We start from the raw sequence: 22,821 nt of genomic DNA on the forward strand, positions 1-22,821 counted from the left end.
ATCAAGGGCTTTTGTCACAATGGATACCTGAGCTAACCATTATAAAAGATATATAACTAGTAAAGTCCTGGCCCCTGCCCTCATTGTGCCTATCCCAAGGTTTGGCATTCAATAAGTATTCAATCTATATTTGATTAATTGATCTTCCCCTTGCTCACCAGGTACAGGGGATATATTCCCTGAAGGCATCTTTCTTCCCTTTACTAAGCCTCACTGATTATCTTTAAGTTTCAGCCTCACATTTTGACTGTGGTCTCAACATTACTGACCAGGTCCTTCTCCATAGTCTCCTCCCACCTCTGAGGATCAAACTAAAAGCAAGGTACTCACACTTGGCCCAGAGAGACCATCAGCGAAACTCCTCATTCCTAAATATTTGTTCTTTGAAATGTCTTTTTCAATTAGATCTCACCCAAATGTTTGAGAGTCAGGCTGAATTCCAACTTCCTGCTCCAGAACAGACATGTTAAGCCTGCATAATTACTGCAGCCAGCTTTATTTGCTATAAAAACATGGATTTTTGCTCCCTCTCAACTATAAAATAATCGATAAATAGAATCCAGATGAAAAATGCTGGCGTTTAGGAGAACAACTCTTTTATGGTTCTTTTCTTTTGGGTCTAATTAACACATTGGGGATAAAGTGTGCTGTTACATTTACCAGGCCAGCCAAGTTGAAACACAAACTCTCCTCTTCCTGCTGAGATACAGCTTCATATCAGAAATACAGGAAGACAGACAGACAGAGTTTCAAAACATTTTGAGATGCTCAACAAACAGACCTGTGAACCTGTGGTGTGGACTTCCTTCAGCACCTCTCTGTTCACACTGGCTGTTCAGTTGTTTCCCCCACCCCTCCCAATTCCTTAAGAACACACTGCATAGTTACTGTCAAATGAAACACAGTCCCATTAGCAGGAGAAGCAATCTCTCTTTCAGTCTTTTAATGAAGAAGGCATGTTTTTTTGGACAATGACCACCCAGGCCATGGAAGTTTCATGAGGGGCTCTCGGAGTGGATGACACCTTTTCAATTATAACACTGCTATAATAAACCCCCACAGAGCCACCGGGCATGGAGTCTACATCCAATACACGACACCTATTTATTCCCTAATTATATTGCAATATATTCTCTCTGTGTATGTGCTGATGAAGATAAAATATTCTTTTAATTCTATGGCCTCTTGGATGGGGAGGGGGAGGGGATGTACATAGCAAGTCTTATGAGTTCCTAGAGCTAAATCACAGCCTTCGTTCCAGGCTTCCCCATCTTATAATCTCAAAAAATCATTCACTTTCCCTTGTTCTACCACATTGATTCTCAAAGTGTCCAAGTGTGGTCTCCAGAACTAGAGAATCAGCATCACCAAGGAACTTGTTTAGAAATGCAAATTGCTGGACCTACTCCAGACCCATTGAATCAGAAACTTGGGAGTGTGGCCCAGTAACCTGTGTTTTCACAAGCCCTCCACACTGAAATCTGAGAATCACTAGTCTGCAAGGAAGAAATGCTTTACTAGGAAGAAAAGAGCAGCATTTTAAATTGAATCCTGTATCAGGGAACACCTGGATTCTATACGGGCTGGGCCCCTCTTACTGCACAGCTGTCCCAATCTACAGATTCAGGGCTCCATTTACTCATCTGTACAATGGGGCTCCAGAGCACACCAAACAGCTGTGGATGCTGGAATTTAAGAGGGACATGGTTACCTGGCACCAGTCTCTATGGATACCTAGCAAGATCATAGTTGCCAGCACTCACCAGCTCCCTTCCTGGCAGAAGATCTGCACAGCAGTTCTCCAATGCTGCCTCTAAGGTCACCACTGCAGCTGCCTTTGGGTTACCCCTGGCAACCAGGAGCTGGGGTCATGCAAGCCCACAGAATCTCCAAATCTCACAGCCAACAGCGTCAAATCTTTCACCTTGGAGCCTTGAACCACTAGAGGGGAGGTTCAGAATTCCCTATTATATTGTCCCATTTCAGGACTTCTTCAGACATTGTTGTGTATTTGCCTCTGTTCTACGACTAAACTTTAAGCCTATGGAGGAGAGAGCCTAGAATGTCAGCATCACAAGGTATGGGACTCCTCCTGTCTGATTCATTGCTGTATCCCAAGGGCCTAGTCCAGTGCCTGGCACAAAGAAGGAGCTCAGTAACTATTTGCTGACTACGTGTTCCTGCCTTTCATAAGTTCGGAACACTGAAGCAGCTAGAAGTTATGGTTGGGAAGAGGCAAAAGGGCTGGGTGCGGTGGCTCAGCCTGTAATCCCAGCACTTTGGGAGGCCAAGGCAGGCAGATCACTTGAGGTCAGGAGTCTGAGACCAGCCTGGCCAACATGGCAAATCCCCATCTCTACTAAAAATACAAAAATTAGCCTGGCATGGTGGCCCACACCTGTAGTCCCAGCTACTTGGGAGGCTGAGGCAGGAGAATCACTTGAACCCAGAAGGCGGAGGTTGCCGTGAGCCAAGATCATGCCACTGTACTCCAGCCTGAGAAAGTGAGACTCCGTCTCAAAAAAAAAAGAATGAAAAAAAAAGAGAGAAGGGGCAAAATAATGAGAATGATTGAAACCCCTGGGAATGATGAGAAAGGAGAAAAGAAGCAAACGCCAGAATACTGCCCATCTGACCCCACCACACTTGGCTCATGGGGAACTGACTTGCCGGCCGATTGCTCACCCTAAGTCTAGGCCTAGAAGACCCCTGGGGCCAGGTTCTGAGCTTGAGCTCTGAGCAACTGGCTCTTCTAGCTTCCCTAGTGATTCTCACACAAAGGCCCAGTGCTCATTGGCCCTGACAGTGCTGTGCTTTGACCAGCCGCTTAACCAGCTTTCCTGCCTCCTTCTTAGGACTCAAGCCCTGTATCCTGACAACCCTCCTTCCCCAAATGGAAACCTACCCGAGGATCAGCTCCTAATCTTGCCTTCTCCACGGACTATCCCTAATCCAGCCCCTCCCGAAGTGATTTCACCTGAGAATGCCTACATGCACTCACTTCCTTGACTACAAAACAATGGCTCCTCTTTCCCTATGGGTTGCACCTGATGGGGCTGAGCCCTGTGTGCGGGCTCCATTTACCCCCAGAGCTCGGTGCAGGGACAGAACAGGTATGCAACAAACTGTCACATGAGTGATTTATCCTGGGAGATGCTCCCAGCACAGCACCTAACCCGAAAATCCAGAGACAGGTCCTCTGCCTCTAACCTCACACACACCCAGCCCTCGAGCCTGTCAAGGATGTGCAGTGGCCTAACTGGGAACACTTGCCCTGTGCGAAGAAAGCAGTAAAGTTAGAGTGGAATACTAGAAAAGGCCCTGACCCAGAAGTCAGGAGACTTGGTTTATCTACTCTTCCTCCCGTATAGCAGCTCTAAGCAAGTCCTTTCACTTCTCTGGACCTCAGTTTGCTGATCTGTGAGTGGGAGGAAGTGGCGAGATTGCAGTCCTAGACCTCGAATTTCTAGCGGCTTAAACAAAATGTGAGCAACGGAGAGAGCTGGTGCATGGTGTGCACCAGGAAAATCCGCCGGAGGAGCAGAGGATGCTCAACGTCTGCTCAACGCCCTCGGGGCACCCCGCCCAGTCTGCAGGGAGTGACGGCAGAGGGACCCTCTCCGGAAAGCCTCGAGCTTTTGGTACCTCTAAACCCCCTAAACCTCTCAAGATAATCTCCCGACAGCACTCCAACAAAGAGAGCTGCTGGGCCGGGGCTCCGCTGGCTCCGAGAAGCCGCAGAGGTCGGCGAATCCGGCCCCTCCGACTCCGGGAACGAGTGGGACTGAGCCCCCGGCAGGCTCCGATTGCCCCAGCCGGCCGCCGCGAGCCGCACCCCCCGCCCCCCACCCCCCACCCCCCACCGGCCGGGGTTTTAACCCTTGTTTCCCTGGCAGAGCGCCGGAGGGGCGCTGGTGCCGGGGCGCGAGGACCCCTGCCCAAGGGAGCCGAGATGGCCAGGAGCCCAAACCATCCCAAAGGCCTCCTCCAACCCGCCGCAGGCCCTGTTCTCTCGGCTCTTGGAGGGATGGAGAGTGGGCGATCCTGAAGCGGAGCCACTTTGAAATATTTTTCCGGAGAACATGACCACTCGGGAGACAGTCACACTGGCCTCGCAGCGCGGGCTGCGGGGCACCGATCCCGAGACGCGGCTGCCGCTGGATGGAGCCCGCGAGTCCAGGTCCGGGAGAAGCCGCCCGGGCTCGGGGGCTCTGGGCACCGCCACGCCGAGGCTCGGCGCTCCCGGGCTCAGGACAGGTGACGGCTGCATCCCACTCAGGGACCTTGACGCCCTCGAGGAACGATTCTGCCTATTTTTAAGTAGTATTTTTTCTAACAAATTAGGAAAATAAACCAAGTCCAGGAGGAAGGCGGCTGCGCTCGGCAGCTCCAAGGAGCCACAACCACCACCCATTTCCCCACCTCCAACACTACCGCCCACGGCTGGGCGAGAAGTTGGGAACTTCGGGACCACGCTCCAGGCGCGCGCAGAGAGTCACTTGCTTCTCCTTTAACTTTGGGAGCCAGGGTCGCAGTCTAGGGCAGGAGGATCGTCCTGGGAGCCAACCAACAAGGCCGTCCAGGTCCTGGACTTCCCGGAATAGAGTAACGGCTATGGGATGGGAAAGAAATAGGGGGATACACGTTCCGCCTCCCTTCTCCCAAAAGCAAAAGCGTGCATGGCACTTGCTGGGGCTTAGCGGCCGCGGGGCGCATCGCCGGCCGCCGCCGAAAACCTGCTGCGTCCCCGCAGGCTCTGCCTCCCGACCCCGGCGGGGAAGGCGCCGGTGCAGTGAGTGCAGCCGGCGCACCCGGGGCGGCTTGAGAGCGGAGTCCCCAGACTCAAGGGGGCGGACGGGCGCCCTCCCCGGGACACCCGCGCCGCGCCACTGCTCTCGGGTCTTCCCCCGCACGTGGAGGCGCCGCGGACGCTGCATCCCGACTGCGGCCGGAGGGCTGCGGCTGCCCACATTGAGGCGCCCTACATCCTGCCGGACCCCCTGGCGCTCCTGCAAGCCCCGGCATCCACCTACTCCCGGAGCCAAACTCGGCTTCGGCAGCCGGGACCCGGGCAGGGCGGCCGGGGTCCGCGGAGCTGGTGGAAAGTTAGTCGCGGGGCCTCAAAGTCCCCTCCCCAGGGCCGGAACCCCCACCCCCGCGTCCCCTGGTGCCCCCGGCGTCCGAGACTCCGCGTCCTCGCGGTCCCCACTCAGCCACCTACCTGCTCCCGCGGCCGGCCCAGGGATCGGCCGGCCAGTCGCGCGGTCCTGTCCTCCGGAGCCCGAGCCTGGCCAGAGCGCCAGGCAGGAGCAGGGGGCCGCGAGCAGCCGGGAGCCGGGCGGCGGGCAGCGGGCACCGGGAGCGACTGAGCGAGCGAGCGAGCGGGCGGCTGGAGCCGCGGCGGCTGCTGCCGAGCCAGCCCCCACCCGCTTCGTCCCTCGGCCCCTCCCTCTCCTTCCCTCCCAGCCTTCCTCCTCCCGGCTCGCAGCTCCCTCCCTCCGCTCTCCCGCACACCCCCCTCATTTTTTTCCTCTTTCTCTCTGTTTGGTCCTTTCAGATCCTGCTGTTACGCGCGCGCTCGTTCGTTCTTTTTCCTGTCTTCAGTCTCTCTCTTCAGCTTGCCTTTGGATTCTCCTTTTTCTCCCATTCATCCTTTTCCAGCATCTCACCTCCCTCCTCCCCACTTTCGTTCTTTTGGTCATTTTTCTTGCTCCCTCTTTTCTCTATTTTCTATTTTCTCCTCCTGCTAACCTTCTCGCGCGTCTACTCCCCTTTCTCTTCCCTACTCCCCCTTTCCCTCCTGGGGGAGTGGAGCGGCCTGCGCGCCTCCTCCTCTATGCTCTCGATGGGAGATCCCGGGGATGGGAGTGGGGGTCTGGGGGTTAAATGGAGCCAGGGGCACCCCCAGGCCGTGCTCCTAACAGGCCGAAGGTCGAGAGGGAGGGGTAGGGCCGGAGACAGGGACTCAAGACAGGGGCTCGAGAAACGTCCCGGCAAGGAAAAGGGCAAGAAAAGCAAAGAACTCAAAATGTTAAGACCCAAGTCGGGCTGAGCCGTGCCTGGTGAGATGAGGAAACTGAGACCCAAAGAGAAGAGGGCAATGAACTTGTCTTGCCGAGGTCTACTCCAGGCAAGGTCGAGACCCCCACCGCTCCTCGCAGCCTAGGACTGGGCTCCTGCGCTGATGCGGGAAGTGCGAGGGCGCCTGAGGCCCGTCAGCTCGTTCCCGTCCCTTTGCCTGCCTCTGCGCCCAAGTCCCGGGGGCCATGGGGAGGAAGCCTTCCTCCTCTGCTACAGCACCTGGGGCCGCCTGGCTGCCCCACGACACTCCTAGTGAGGCCAAGCCAGACAGGGGTAAAGACCTGGCTCTTAAGAGTGGTGCAGGGAACCCCCTTTCCTCCACCTCCTACCCCTTCCCAGGAAATGTGGGCTGACTCCTGCTTACACGGGATAGGAGTGGCGGCAGGGTACTTTGCTCGTGGGGTTTGCCCTCTTTTGTCCTTGAACTAAAACTGGAGCGGAAAGGCCCAGGGTTGGAAAGGTGGTTATACACACCTGGGGAGATGAATTTTTGCGAATAAAGTAGGCCTAATGCCTGAGACTGGGAGCTGTGTGTCCGTCCGTGTGTCTGAGCACCTAGCCCACCCGGGCCATTCTGGGTCTGATGGAGCAAGTCCCTCCCCTAGAAGCTTTTCCTGGCACTTCCTCGTTTCAGCCCAGTGGAGTCGGGCGGGAGGAGAGACGTGGGGTCTCCGTTCCCATGGAGTCCACGCTGCGGCCCGACACCACCAGGATTCTCATAGTTCCACCCCTAATTTCTGGGGCCAGAAATTTCTGTGGTACACAACCAGAAGCAGAAACAGAAGTACAACCAGAAGCAGAACCTCTGCTCAGCCCCTGGGTAAAAATCTACTTTGGGGTGCTAGCAAAACTCTGCACAAATATTCTATTCATTCCTCGCTTTGGGATATCAAATTAAGTCAATAAAGCCCGGCCTGGGCCTCTGTGGTTCACACCACAAAGCCAGAAGAAGCATCTGCTCAAGGCTGAGACTTGGGTGGGGCACGTGGAGTGCTCACCCTCAGAGTCTGCAACTGAGGGTGAGCGCCTCCTTAAATTCTCCCCTCAGAGCCTCCCTGCCTCACCCTAGTCCCGACTGCAGGCAAATCTGAGGGCTGCTGTTCACCAGCTGTCTGGCCTTGGTCCATGGCCGCCCCCATGCTGGCATTATTTCCCCACCTGACCATGAAGAGGCTGAATTCGATGTTCTCTAAGATTTTCTCCAGCTCTGAGGTGCCACAGTTTGTGGGTATCATAGATGCCAAATTTGTATGCCTGCTCCACCACTTACTAACTGTGACACTGGGCAGTCACTTAACCTGTTTCCCTATCAGTAAAATGGGAACGATGATAGTACTGTGAGCTGTGTGAGGATTAAACCACATAATGCACCGAAGCACAATTCCTGACACAGAGTAGCACTTGACTACTGTGAGCAATTAATACTGCACAAGGTAGGGTTTGGCATATCTTTCCTTCATCTTCACATTCCCATTTTCATTATGAGTTGTAATCCCCACCATGTCCCACAACCCTCCCTCTATGTGGTAGCCATCCACTTATAAGTCTCAGACTTCAGTTCTGATAGGTTTGGGAAGGTAGACAGGTCTTCCCATCTCATCCCATCTCGATGACCAATAAATAGGAAGAAACTCCCGCTCCCTCCTCTTATACACTCACACCTGCCAGGCTTGAATTGTGTGTCTGAGGATTGCTGGCCCCCTCCACGCTGGGCTGGGGATTGCCTGGTTTTCTGCTACACTCTAAAAAGCCATACCAATCTATAGAGCTGCACCTTCCATACCCAGATGGCAAGGCTCCAAGGACACATGTCCCAACAGAGCCAGAAACACTTTTAGCAAGCATCTCTGAGGTTGGCTGGGGGTCACATTAGAGCCCATGGTCCATCATTCATTTGTCAGTCTCTGAGTGCCTACTTACAGGAGGCGCCACTCTGCACAGCCCACTGCCATATCCACCTTCAACTAGCTGCAACAAGGTCATTTTGGAAGCTATGCCATCTAAAGCCAGGCTACTCACTGAAGGGCATATTTGAGATAAAAATCCACTATTCTGTGCTATAAACCCTGCTATCAAAAAGTTTGCATACCTGGTTGATGCTGCCAGAAAAAAAAAAAAAAGCAAGCTTATACTCTGGAGTCGGAAGACAGTGGAAAAAAAAAAAAAAAGAAAAAGAAAAGGAGCAGAAGCAGAGTAGGGAACCTGGAAGAGGAAGCCTGACTTCAAATCCTTGGCTCTGTCACATGTTAGCTATATGACCACAAGCAAGTGCAATTGCACCCTCTGCACACTTTGGCCTGGACAGGGGTGAAAAGTAAGGAAGCCAAAACTCCGGCACCTAAGGTGAGAGGATCTCCTCCTCTTAGAAATAAATTATCTGAAGGCTAGGACACTGGAGAGAGGATCCAAGGCTCAGACCACAGTGGTCTTTCCTTCAGTCAAGTGTGCAGGCAGGGAATTCTCTTTGTTTTCCTTCTCTCTCCCTCCATTCCTTGAGGGGAGATCGCCTTTCCCTCTCTATCTTCCTGCAGAACTCTGACTCAAAGCCCCAAGCAGGAATACCCACAAAGCAAACCCAGGGATGACTGGAATTTGTTGAATGAATGAACGATTTCAGAACTTGTGGGGTCTTTTAAAACTGCAAGTGGAACACAATATGTCAGAGTGCTTGGGAGGGCGGAATGTCTCCCTCCCCACCAGACTCTAACATAATTGGGGTCAATACCATGTCTTATTTACCTTCATATCTGATACAAAGCCCAGCATAGGGCCTTGCCTTGGAAAAAGAATAAGTAAAATATCTACAATTTATTAATAAGATACACACATGTTATCATTTAAACTTCGTGACAATTCTGTATAGTAGGCATTATTATTTCCCTTCTACAGAGGAAAGACTGAGGGCCAAAAAAAAGTAATTTGCCCTAGGCCACATAGCCAGTAAATGACAGAACCTGAATTTGAACTCAAGCTTGTTCTAAGCTCTTTTCTCGATGCTGTAGTGTCTTGCACTATGGGACTGGGACTTGGGTAAGGCAACCTAGGGAGGCATTCACTCTCAGGAGCTGAATGCACATACACAAACCTGAAAGTAACCTTCGAAAAATGCCCCCAAAGAATTATAGAGAATTTTGGGATCCATGTGGTCCTAGCCATCAGTGAGGTGCAGAGAAGAAACCATTGCTCAACTGCATTACATCCACTGATAGAACATACACTGATACAATATATGCCAGACCCATCTGCAAATATACCCACACACAACAATCCTGCCCGATACACAAATTACTGGGAGATGACAACCCAACACACCTACACACACACCAACACACCCCAAACATCCCCTGCACACACAAATATAACACAATTCCTGCACTCTTAAAAACGGGCGGGAGGCAGAGGATCAGAATAAGACGCAGTGGCATGACTCTTTTCACAAGCTTTTTATGAACCCACAACCACCAATCGAAGTCTTGATTAACTTGGTTGTATTTATTAAATCATGTTCAATATTTAATAACTTTGAATATGGATTGAATATTTAATGAGATTGGTGGAGATCTATTTGTGTATAAACGTCAGAAGTGCCAATTGCTTTGAATTGAGAATTGAGTCTGTGACTCATTCTCAGTAGCTGGTACTGGAGAGCTCTCCATTCTACATTTTCATGGATTTATTTAAATTACAGGTTATCATCATGACATTATTACACCATTACTTATTATGATGCTCCACTATTATAACATTATTAGGCTGTCCCAGAAAATGTGGCATTTAGATACTGAATTTCCTTGCATCCAGTAAAACCTGGATTGGGGTCTCTTGGTCTCCTTCCTCCATGTTTACTAGGAAAAGGGGCCAAATATGACACTGTGAAATGCATGCTGTCTTAAGCCCTCAATCCTCCCACAGGTACAAGATGATCTGGAAGCAATTTCTGGGTTATACTTTGTCCAAGACTAATTTGTCCAAAAGAAGAAACTCTACTTTGTGGACTGAAGACAAGCAACATGAATTTCTGAAACTTCTTTTACAGAAATATGAGAATCGGATGCATAATGCAATTTTCAGAGGCATCATGGGGATTCGTGAAAGTCCTTGGAAGATTTGAGATTCAGGAACTCAATGAATAAATTTAACTATCCATAAGTGTGGATTTTACACAAGGTACAGTTATATATTAATGATGTTCTCTGGCTAATAAGTAATTACAAAATGTAGTTTGTTAGGGGTCAAAGAGAAATCATTGGAAATAGCCCTTGTGCCACAGCAGGCTGTTGCCTGGCAGGATATAAACTGCTTACTCACAAGAGAGACCAAATGCATTCTCCATCAAATAACTCTCATCACTGACATACCTTTGTCATATTCTGATTTGCTCTGATTTTGGGTCCAAAGCAAATGTAAATAAATGCTACCAAAAGAAGAATAATTATAACACCACCATTAGGTGGAGAGTAGCCTTCTGACTGAAATCAATGTAATCATACTTCTTGGATACTGTTTTATATATATGTAAATATATATATTTATATATATTTATACACACAGGGTATGTGTGTGTGTGTGTGTGTGTGTGCGTGTGTGTATACATATATATATACAGGGTCTCACTCTGTTGCCAAGGCTGGAATGCAGTGGTGTAATCATGGCTCAATGCAGCCTCAAACTCCTGGGCTCAAGTAATGCCTCTGCCTCAGCCTCCTCAGTAGCTGAAACCACAGGTGTGGCTACCATGCCTGGCTAATTTTTTTTTGTTTTTTTTTTGTTTTTTTTGGTAGAGACAGGGTCTCACAATGTTGCCCAGGCTGGTCTCAAACTTCTGGCCTCAAGCAATTCTCCCACCTCAGCCTCCCAAAGTGCTAGGATTAAAGGCCTGAGCCACTGTGCTCAGCCACTGTTTTCATTTTATTTGCAACAAATGATTAGAAAAATTTGCACCTCTAAACACTTTTCTTTATTCTCCTCACCTTCAATACTCGACCAACTTTTAAATTAAATTCTACCTGATACCACACCAGTTTATTTGCCCATTCTGAATCCCCCATAGTGTCCTGGGCTTCCTGATTTTTTTTTTTTTTTTTTTTTTTTGAGACAGAGTTCGCTCTGTTGCCCTGGCTGGAGTGCAATGGCACGATCTCAGCTCACCGCAACATCTGCCTCCTGAGTTCAAGACATTCTCCTGCCTCAGCCTCCCAAGTAGCTGGAATTACAGGCATGCACCACCACGCCCGGCTAATTTCGTATTTTTAGTAGAGACAAGGTTTCTCCATGTTAATCAAGCTGGTCTCAAACTCCTGACCTCAGGTGATCCACCCGCCCTGGCCTCCCAAAATGCTGGGATTACAGGCATGAGCCACCGCGCCTAGCCGTGCTTCATGATCTTATTTATGCTGTTCTCAGAGCCTTAATGACTTTCCCATCCTCTTTTAAGCTTGGCAAACTCGTCTTACCCTTTAAAATTCTGCTCATCACTAAGGCCTTCCTTGGTGCCTTTACCCTACCTGTTTACCTACCCTGATTGGCACTTTTCTCACTGTAGTTTGATTATATGTTTACAGGTCTACCTGCTCACATTGTATGGTGAATACCATAGTCATTTCAATATCTCCAGTGTCTTGCATAGTGCCTGGTCTAATCCTGGGCGGATGCATGGATGAATGAATGGATGATGGGTGGATGGACGGACTTGGAAATAAAAACATACGGGTTTTATTATACTTGCGGCTCTTTATCCTTTGACTTGGGTTGAGCAGGGTGTTGGAGTAGGAGCCATCTTATTTTCCAGGAAGCTCATAATGCCATTCATTCTTAGACTCAAGTCAAAGCTCAAAGGGATTAGCTATGCCTTTGTTTTACAGAGAAAGTCATCCCCCTCATGGTTTCCCAATAACACATGTTTTCATTCAACAAACATTTATGAAGTTCTTACTATGTGCCAGGCTCCCTGCTCACTGCCTTGACTCACAACCCAAATCACTAAATCAACCCAGGTGGATTTCTAGTAGCAGGCAGCATCCAGGAACAACTTCTCTCCAGCACTGTTGGCAGTTTCCTCGCAGAAACCAACAGACTTTGGGGGAAGCAGAAGAATCTCCTCCTCGAGAGGGGGTCTGGAACTCTGGCTGAGTGGCAGCTTGACTTGGCAAATTCTTAGCTTTATATAAGCACCTCAAATCCTTTGTGGAAGTAGGTAGGGTATCAACACAATTCTCACACATTAAGCAAAATGTCCTCCTCTTCTTCAGCTTCCTCTGCTACCACTCCCTTCTCTACATTTGTCCTCCAGCAATGCTGAAAGAGGCTTGTGGGCCCTGTGCCCACTAGAACACAAGCTCCATGAGGAAGGGACTTTGCTTTGTTTGCCATTATACATCCAGCATCTAGAACTACACCTGGATATAATAGGCCATCAGTGAGTATTGGATAAGTTAATGAATGATATGTCATATTTTTGTCTTTGCTAGTGATGTCTTCTGTGCTTGGGACGACCTGTTTCTTCACACTAACTCTTACTCATCCAGCAAGACTAAGTCAGGCATATTCTCTCCTAGATAATCCTCCCTGAAGCCCCCGGGTTGGACCATACACCCTTCCTCTGGGTTTCCTGGCACCATGTGCACAGGCCTCTCTTTGCACTAACCACAATGTACTGCATTTATCTGTTATGTGTCTGCTCCCCATTCCAGACTTTGAGCATCATGAAGACAGGAACCATATGCTATTCATCGTCATACCCTCAGCTCCTTGGCAAGGTATCTGGAACACAGAGAGAACTCTATAAAGATTTGTCAAGCTGTACTGAACAACCCCAAGCGGATGCAGATTGGGTCACACCAAATGTGACTGCTGATTCATGTGGTCATTTGGCAAATATTGATTGAGTGCCTATGATGTGCCAAGCACTATTCTTAGCCAACGCTAAGCCAAATACACAAAAATAATGATAAAGTGAGTGCTTGTCAATTAGGTACAACCCAGGTATTTTACCAGGCTAGTTAATTGGTGTGTTGAGTCAATATGAAGACTGTTTTAAACTTCAGCTTTTGCTATAATATTATTTAAGCCTAGACAGGAAATTCAGGGTTCCAATAACTCAATGCTCTCTCTTTCCTGGGCTTCAGTGTCCACACCTACATGATGCACATATACTGTAGTCTCCCATGAGATATTTTGACATATGTTTATACAGGATCCTCTGAAATTCCTTGCACATTTTTAAATCTTAACAATTTGCCTAGAAACACTTTACAAATTGCATTAAGTATTTCAAGGCTTAGAAAACACTATTGCACAAAATGCCTTTGTATTTAAGATCTCATGATAAAGTCCATGTATTTATCTCATGATAAATAAAGTCCAATCAGCTTTCGATTCAGTTGAAATTCAATGTGCCTTTAAAAGCCATGTATTGATTTATTTGATCATACCCATGACCTATGTTACATTTAAGAAACTTTTATTGAGCCCTTTTATTGTATCATGCATTGTAGTAGGCACTAAAGAAAACAAAGATTAATAAAATGTGATCTTGACCTTTAAACAGCGCCAAGTTTGTTGGGGGAGCCTGAAACACAGCTGACCTACTGTAACATGTGAGATTGAGAGATGTTGCAACCCAGGTATACACAAGATGCTATGACAGCATAGAAGACCAACACATTCATTTTGTCTGCAAAGGTATCAGGGAATGTTTGATAAAAGTGGTGACACCTGAGCCAAGCCTAAATAAATGAGTAGAATTTGGCACAGTGAAAAGAAAGTACTAGAGAGAGGGGAGTGACATGGCACAGTGATAGGAGGCACATGGCACACTCGAGGGATACGTGCCATGGGCAGCTAGAGCAAAATGTAACTGCCAGGAAAGAGAGAGGAAAAGGTTGGAAAGGTGAGCTGGGCTCTGATGGAGGAAGATATTGATTGATAACAAGGCAGAATTTTATTCTGGAGATAATGGAGAATATTATTAAAGCTTAAAAGTTTTTAAATTGGCCGGGCACTGCGGCTCACACCTGTAATCCCAGCACTTTGAGGGGCCAAGGCAGGTGGATCATGAGGTCAAGAGATCGAGACCATCCTGGCCAACATGGTGAAATCCCGTCTCTACTAAAAATACAAAAAATTAGCCAGGCATGGTGGTGGGCACCTGTAGTCCCAGCTACTCAGGAGGCTGAGGCAGGAGAATCGCTTGAACCTAGGAGGCAGAGGTTGCAGTGAGCCGAGATCGCGCCACTGCACTCCAGCCTGGCAACAGAACGAGACTCCATCACAAAAAAAAAAAAGAAAAAGTTTTTAAATTATATGATGCCTTTATGCATCTATTATATAAAAAGACATACATTATAATACTCTGTCACACACACAAAAATGAATAAACACCAATACTATCTGATATGGTTTGGCTGTGTCCCTGCCCAAATCTCATCTTGAATTCTCACATGTTGTGGGAGGGACCCAGTGGGAGGTAACTGAATCATGGGGGCAGGTCTTTCCGATGCTGTTCTCCTGATAGTGAATAAGTCTCATGAGATCTAATGGCTTTATAAAGCAGAGCTTCCCTGCACAAGCTCTCTCTCTTTGCCTGCTGCCATCCATGTAAGACATGACTTGCTACTCCTTGACTTCTGCCATGATTGTGAGGCCTCCCCAGCCATGTGGATCTGTAAGTCCAATTAAACCCCTTTCTTTTGTAAATTGCCCAGTCTTGGGTATGTCTTTATCAGCAGCATGAAACCAGACTAATACACTATTTGTCTTTTATGAAATGAAATATCTACTCTGTACCAGGCAGGTGCCTTGCTAAGATAGGAATTCTTGCATTTTATCTTCACGAAAACCCTGAGATGTGTCATGATGCCCATTTTACAGATGAGGTAATGGAGGCTAAGAGTAGTTAAATCTCTTAGCTACTCTGTAGTGGACCTGGAACTTGAAATGTGTCTGACTCCAAAGTCCGTGATCTTAACTTTTAGGCTACGGCAGCAGCTTGTACAAACAATAAACAGATTCACGAATTAGAGGTTTACATAAAATTATTTTTAGCCTCAGGACATATCAAAAGCCTTAAAATGTTTACACTCTTAAACCCAGTAATGACAATTCTGAGAACAAATCTTACAGAAATAATCGGAAATTCACCCAAAGATTCATGTATAAAGATGATTATTGCAATGCTATTTATAACAGAGAAAAGTTGAAAGCAACCTAAGTACCCAACATTAGGAAAGGGTCCCTTATAAAATGGTGTATTATTTAATCATTAAAATTTTGATTGCATGGGATAGAATTATATAATCTCAATCTGTAAAGAAAAAATGCACAGTAAAAAAAATGAAAAAGAAACATTTCACAATGTAATTAGCAGTGGCCTCTGGGAGAAGTTAGAGGTGATTTTTTTCTCCTATGCATTCCAAATTGTCTACGCTTGAACACCTCATTCTTGAAATCAGGAAAAGATACAGTTAAAAAAAATCCATTCTGTGTCTTGATTACAGTCATGTCAGCTGGGTCAGCCTGGATTGTCAGCAGGATGAGAAACGTAACAGCAAAATCACCTCCCTGGCCCTTGATCCTACGATGTCTGGAGATCAAAATATTGACCAAGCTGGCACCCTGTCAGTGACACCCAAGGGTCCAAACTCAAATCATTTCACTTATTCATAGTCGCTCATGTATTCAAAGAAAGCAAAATAATTCATCTTACTTTATTTTCTTTATACTGAAAAGTTGCAGAACTTCATTTTAAAATCAGAAATATACATTGCAATTTTCTTGCAATTTGTTAAATTAACACATTTGTTAAATATTATGTTTGTTCTTAGCATGACTGTTAATTATTCAGGGGAGGTGGAGGGATGGAAAACAAAGAACAAATCCAGAACTTTGGGGCCCAACCTGGGACACCGACTGTGTGGTTAAGTGCTGAAACTCACTGTCAGACTGTGGGGCTTTCTCCGAGGAATTAGAGTTAGGCTAATAACCCAATTTGGAATAATTTAAAGCTCTTTTTAGGGAAGTTTTTGACTCAATTGGGCTCATTATGCATAGGTTTAATGCGTAACAATTTGTTCTTGAAAGCTAACATTATTGTTGGCAATAAAGATAGGAAGTGGAAATAAGCTTCCAATGTGTAAAGCAGATTTATTTCTCGTTTCATATGGACTTGTTCTGGGTCTCTGCGTGTGAATCACACTGTGCTCCCTGCAATAAGATGCTGTCCATGCAGTTGGTTATGATAAATGACCTGTAATTGTGAATCTGATATTGGTTTTCAATATTGAATTTATCATTCTGTCCTCTTAACAGCTATTAAATACTTTTAAGAATTTATCCATTTGCCTGATCCACCTGTGATTTTTCAATATGTAAAATTTATTGGTTTCCTAGTTTTTTGGGATTTTAACGGCCGACAGCATCATTAATAACGCTGAGTAATGGAGCTGACCTCTTTCAAACCTCGTTCCCTTCCACTACTACAGAACATCAAAATTGAATCAAAATGGATTTGATGTGGGAACCCAGCAAGAAAACGGCGGCGGTGGGGTGCCTGACTCGAAATGCGGCTGGTGCAGGCCAAGCCACACACTGTCTGCTTCGACTCTTCACCTCCAATCCCCGGGCAGAGGGAGCCAGGCCTGGGCTGCCTGGGCCTTCCCAGCCTCCGCCTCCTCCTCCCATTGGATGAGCCAGCTCAGCAGCCTTCCTCGCCTTGAGCTGCCTCAGTTTCTTCAGTATTGGGTGATTGATGGAAATAATAATGCCGCTTGCCTGGCTCCCTCACGGACAGCGCTTTGTGAATTAATGAAAGCACACAGACTGTACACACAGAAAGCCCCCTCCCAGACAGCTGCATCGCTGCCCTAGAATTCTCATGAGCTTGACAGGGAGGGATCTTTGCCCTTCACCATGAGGACAGTGCAACCAGAGGCTGAAACAAATTAGGCCCTGTGGCCTGGCGCCGTGGCTCACTCCTGTAATCCTAACTCTTTGGGAGGCCTATGCAGGAAAATCGCTTGAGGACCAGCCTGGGCAACACAGTGAAACCCCTTCTCTACTAAAAATACAAAAATTAGCCCAGCGTTATGCTGCAGTGCCTGTGGCCCCACCTACTTGGGAGGCTGAGGTGGGAGGATCACCTGAGCCTGGAAGGTGAAGACTGCAGTGTGCGGTGATCACACCACTGCACTCCACCCTGGGTGACAGAGCCAGATCCCGTCTCAAAAAAAAAGAAAAAAAAATCAGGCTGTGTGGAATAACAGCAGAGTAGGACTTCCCCTGACCCCTGGTTCCGTATGTTAGGACCACCCATGTATGTTGCCCCCTGAACTGCAAGAAGCTAGCTCAGGGTCAGAGCTTTGGGTTATGCCTTTGCTGGTTTTTTGTTTTTGTTTTTGTTTTGTTTTGTTTTTTGAGACAGAGTCTTGCTCTGTCACCCAGGCTGGAGTGCAGTGGGGAAATCTTGGTTCACTGTAAGCTCAAACTCCTGGGCTCAAGCAATCCTCTGGCCTCACTCAGCCTTGCAAGAAGCTGGGACTACAGGTGTGTGTCACCATACCAGCCTAATTTTTTTTATTTTTTGTTGCCCGGGCTGGTATTGAACTCCTGGCCTCAAGCAATCCTCCCATCTCAGCCTCCCAAAGAGTGAGGATTACAAGTTTGAGCCACGGTGACTGGCCTTTTGTTTTTCTTAAACCCAGCCTACAAGGCTACATCTCATGGCTCCTGTAGTACTACTCACTGTGTTAATGGGACACAGGCACACAGACCTGCAGAACTGAGTTCTCAAGTTCAGAGAACATGTTGACCACCAGCCACGGGGGTTCCCTCAGCTGGAGGCCCAGAAGGGCATGAAGCCAGAGCTGTGCACACATGCAGAAGGACAAAGAGCCTCAGAGCAGGTGGGGGGAGTGGGCAGAAGCTTCCCTGAGGGGGGATCTAGCTGAGTTTCCTGGTCACCCTTCTCAGGGTGACTCCATGATAAGCGGCCCCCTGCTGCCTCCAACCTATGGATAATTGAAAATTAGGCCGGGCGTGGTGGCTCACGCCTGTAATCCCAGCACTTTGGGAGGCCGAGGCGGGCGGATCATCTGATGTCAGGAGTTTGAGACCAGCCTGGTCAACATGGTGAAACCCCGTCTCTACTAAAAAATACAAAAAAATTAGCCGGGTGTGGTGGCAGGCGCCTGTAATACCAACCACTCGGGAGGCTGAGGCATGAGAATCGCTTGAACCTGGGAGGCGGAGGTTGCAGTAAGCCGAGATCGCACCATTGCACTCCAGCCTGGGGGACAAGAGTGAGACTTCATCTCAAAAAAAGAAAAAAAGAAAATTAACCACCTCCCCTGAAGCCTAATTTCATATTCTTGGGGCAGCATAACTGACTTCCAGTCCAACGGAAATCTATTTCCTTGGAAGTTTTGTCTATTCAAATGGGCTAAGTTCAAATCTATCAGAAAAAAAAAAACAAAACAGGAGCTGTCAATAGAGTCACTGACAGGTGAAAAATTTCCAAAGGGCTCCTGAGACAAGAGGAGATGTGATTTCTACCAAAAGCCACAGGGCCACCTGGTTCCAGACCTAGTCTAGGAGGCAATAACAGATAAGGCGCTCAGTTCAGACCAAAAGCCAAGTCCCCAAGCTCCCTCTGCAATGCTCCTTCTGCAGCGCTCCTTCTGCCCTACCATGACATGATTTACAAACTGCTAGAAAGGAAGATATGCCTTCCCCAAATCCCAGACATTTCAGAACCTTCTGTAGACTCAGCTTTTACTACCAAGGTCTCTCGTATACTTTTTGTGTCAATGGCTCACAGCAAAAGGTAATTTTAATCTGACAAATGTTTATTGAGTACCTATGAGTGCCTATGTGCTTGGTGAACTGGGTGAACTCCTATGGAGACACACACACAAAAACAAATAAAATACATTCTCTGCCATCAGGCAGGCCTGATAATGGCACTGCACTTAACAATCAATTATGAAACATTTACTGCACGCCTGGCACTGTGCTGGATGCTGCAAAGGACACAAGGAAAAGAATCATGCTCAGTCGCTTCCCAAGGAGCTTACCTTATTGGAGAGAAAAGATCTTCATATACCAACCATGACGACTCATAATGAAATGTTTAGATATGTGGTGGAGGCAGTGAGTACAAAAGAATTGGAAAGGATCAGTGTAGGCTCCAAATAATCAAGGTAAACCTTATGGAGTTGGAGGTAATGGAAAAGGATCATGAGAGAAGGATGGGTGGGGACAGTGAGGATAGGACAGACGTGTGTGTGTGTGTGTGTGTGTGTGTGTGTGTGTGTGTGTGTGTGTTGTCAGGAATTATTATCTTTATCATTCAGCCTTCAAATATCTGCCCACCCTTTCAGGTACTCACTCACACATATCCTACAAAAGAAAGGGTCAACAAACATTAATGGAGAACCTGCCTCATGCCAGGAGGCATTTTGCACTTAGATCCATTACCATATGCACCCTTCCCAACCACCACCCTGCCAAGTAGACATCATGTCCCTCTTTTATAGAAGAGGACCCCAGAGTTCAAAGGGTATGTCATTTGCCCAAGACTGCTTCACCAGCAATTGGCCAAGCTGGGACTCAAACCAAGGTCTTGGCCTCCAATGCTCATATTTTTTACCATTGAATCACATGGACTCTAGGAAGAAGTGGCAGTACCCCAAGAACACAATGCTGGACCAGAATCTAAAAGGAAAAGGAGGAGGAAGGGAAATGGCATATAATGACTGTCAGGCCAGGTGCTATGGTGGGCAAGAAAGAGCAACCAGTAGACCATTCACCTTTGGAGACAGCCACTACTGCATTCCCTTGGGACATTTCCTGGAGCTGCCATCCCAACTTTGACTTCCAACCATGATGGCTGCTACTTTTGGCAAAACACCAGTCCTCTAGAGGACACAGGGCTCTCTCCTGCAGGAGCTGGAGTCCTCACTGAGGCTTATTATCCTTCATCCAGAGCAAGGCAAGCTTAGTTAGGTTTGGTGCCCAGACCTGGGCCATCTCAGAGCTATGTTATCTTCCAAAGTATGGGAGGGAAAAACCCTCACTGAATCAGAAAATACATCTTTTCAGTACTTAAATGGGTCCTGTTTTAAGCCAAAATCAGTGTAATTAAATAAGAAAATAAGACCAAGTATACCCCCCACTGTCATTAATTATGAGCAAGAGGAGACGGAAGAAACTCTGGTATAGTTTATTTAAAAGGTGCAATCCTGAAGTGAGACAAAAAAAAAAAAAGAAGAAGAAAAGAGAGAAAGAATAATTAAAATGAAGGTATCATTATTGTTTCTTTAAAGGATCTCGTTGGACAGAGGGGTCTGATTGACAGACAAGTCACATGAGGTTCTCAGAGTGACTGTTCTGAAGATGAATATGCAGGAAGCCCTGGCCTCTAGGACCTCTTGCCTACCTCCCACAGCCTTTCTAAGCAACCGGGAGAGTAGGAAAAACACCGAGGGGCAGAGTCTGCTGGACAAGGACCCTGCCCCTGGGCATGTTAATGTCAATCATAAGAAATGCTTAAGTCTCTGAAGCTCTCTTGGCATACAGGGGGTGAAGCTACTACATTTCTATTATCATCGTTATGGCTGCTATTATTAACATTTATCCAGTACCAACATTTTACTTAGCACAGCACAAAGTGTAAAGGAAGATCCAGCATCTGCTTTGAAAATAAACATCTAGGCTCCCCCACAGATTTGTGCCCCAGCAGAGGAACCAGCCTTTAGCCACTCAGGGACACTCCACAGCCCCACCTCCACCTCCATCTCCAACACTATGTCTCCATTTTCCTTGGGCTACTACGTCAGGTCTTCTGGAATCTGTTCAGCGTTCCAAGGCCCTGGCTGGGTTGCATGACCCTCTGTGGCCAAAGTCAGGGTTCAAAGAACCAGGCAGAGAGCAGAAACAGACATGAACAACCAGGACTCTGAGACAGAGCTAGAGCAGGCAGGGTGCATGGCGAAAGAAAGCACCGTGCTTTCTCACGACTCACGTGTGAGTCAAACTAAATGCTTCACTTAATGTCACCACTCTACTGCTCCAGTCGCCTTGTTTTTCTTATCACCTCATCATGCAACCTCACACTTTACGAATCCTCTCATACACTTTAAAACTCAAGACCCACACCATAGTAAATTTTATCTGTACAAGTCTTTGGAACACGAAAGCATTGACAAGTGTCCATGGCCATCTAAGAAATGTACAAATATTATATATACACATCAGTTCCTCAAGCAAAAGTCCCACTTCCCACTGCCAAATGTTATTTTTTACAGCAGCTCTGCAAGATGAGTGAAGGCGTATATTTCACCAGAGTGAGCCACTTTTTATAGAGTGGGGGAGAAAAAAGAAGCCCAAACGCTTTTATTGCTTTCTAACCAACAGGATTTCTGGATGCAAATGAATGAATCACCTCTGTGACGATTGGCTGCCTGAGTTTCCTTGTCACACTTGGAGCAGGCTCGGTGGATGTGACTTGTATCCTCATGAGTCCAAGGCAAGATAAAGGACTGACATTGCTACCAGTGAGTTATGAGATTTGTCTTTATCAGTGAAAATAAGGTCATAACGCAGCCCAGCCATCGCCTATTATATGTGGCTTCCATCTACTTTTCTGTATAATGTGATCCACTGTGCAAGGTGATTTGGAGAAGCCCAGTGAATAAATTAGTCATTTTTAAAAGCTGCGTTAAGTCTTTAAGGCCACCAGGGTAGCTTTTAATGCATTGCTGCCATTCTTCAATAGACACTGGTCTTCTTTTGACATGCATTTTGATGACAGTCTGGTGAAAAAAGTAGCTGGGAAGATTCTCCTAAGCATATTTAAAATTAAAGGCTGGACGCGGTGGCTCACACCTGTAATCCCAGCACTTTGGGAGGCGGAAGCAGGCAGATCACTTGAAGCCAGACCAGCTGGCCAACATGGTGAAACTTCATCTCGACTAAAAATACAAAAATTAGCTGGGTGCAGTGGAGCACACCTGTAATCCCAGCTACTCAGGAGGCTGAGACAGGAGAACTGATTGAACCCGGGAAGCAGAGGTTGCAGTGAGCTGAGATCACACCACTGCACTCCAGCCTGGGCGACACAGCGAGACCCTGTCTCAAAAAAAATCAAAATAAAATAAAATTAGAGAAAAAAAAGTAATATGGTGACCCACAGCTGGATCCCAGTTAGAAAGCTAACCAATCATGGGATTGAGTTCCTGGCAGCTATTTCTTAAGAGAATGCATAACAAAATCATTCATTCATCCCTCACCTGTTAATTGTGATTTAAAAAATAATAAGATCGGCTGGGCACGGTGGCTCACACCTGTAATCCCAGCACTTTGGGAGGCCTAGTTGGGCAGATCACTTGAGGTCAGGAGTTCAAGACCAGCCTGGCCAACATGGTGAAACCCCGTCTCCACTAAAAATACAAAAATTAGTTGGGCATGGTGGCGCATGCCTGTAGTTACCGCTACTTTGGAGGCTGAGGCAGGAGAATTGCTTGAACCGGGGAGGCGGAGGTTGAAATGATCTGAGATCACCCCACTGCACTCCAGCAAGGGTGACAGCGAGAGTCTGTCTCAAAAAATAATAGGAAGAAGAAGAAGAAGAGGAGGAGGACGAGAAGGAGGAAGAGGAAGAGGAAGAAGAAGAAGAAGAGGAAGAGGAAGAAGAAGAAGAAGAGGAAGAAGAAGAGGAAGAAGAAAATTCAGCATTAGCTTAGTTTA

General features: G+C 47.2%; 1 protein-coding gene across 14 annotated transcripts in view; it reads right to left on the bottom strand.

Annotated features, from left to right (window-relative positions):
• Positions 1-5,367, bottom strand: part of MEGF11 (multiple EGF like domains 11) — a 358,452-nt gene extending 353,085 nt beyond the window's left edge. For all 14 annotated transcript variants that reach the window (NR_169555.1, NR_169554.1, NR_169558.1 and 11 more), the window contains exon 1: positions 5,222-5,367. The gene's annotated coding sequence lies outside the window, so the exon portion shown is untranslated. The remainder of the gene's footprint in view (positions 1-5,221) is intronic.
• Between the last annotated feature and the right edge of the window lie 17,454 nt (positions 5,368-22,821).

Source organism: Homo sapiens, chromosome 15, assembly GCF_000001405.40.
Source record: "Homo sapiens chromosome 15, GRCh38.p14 Primary Assembly".
Lineage (NCBI taxonomy): Eukaryota > Metazoa > Chordata > Mammalia > Primates > Hominidae > Homo > Homo sapiens.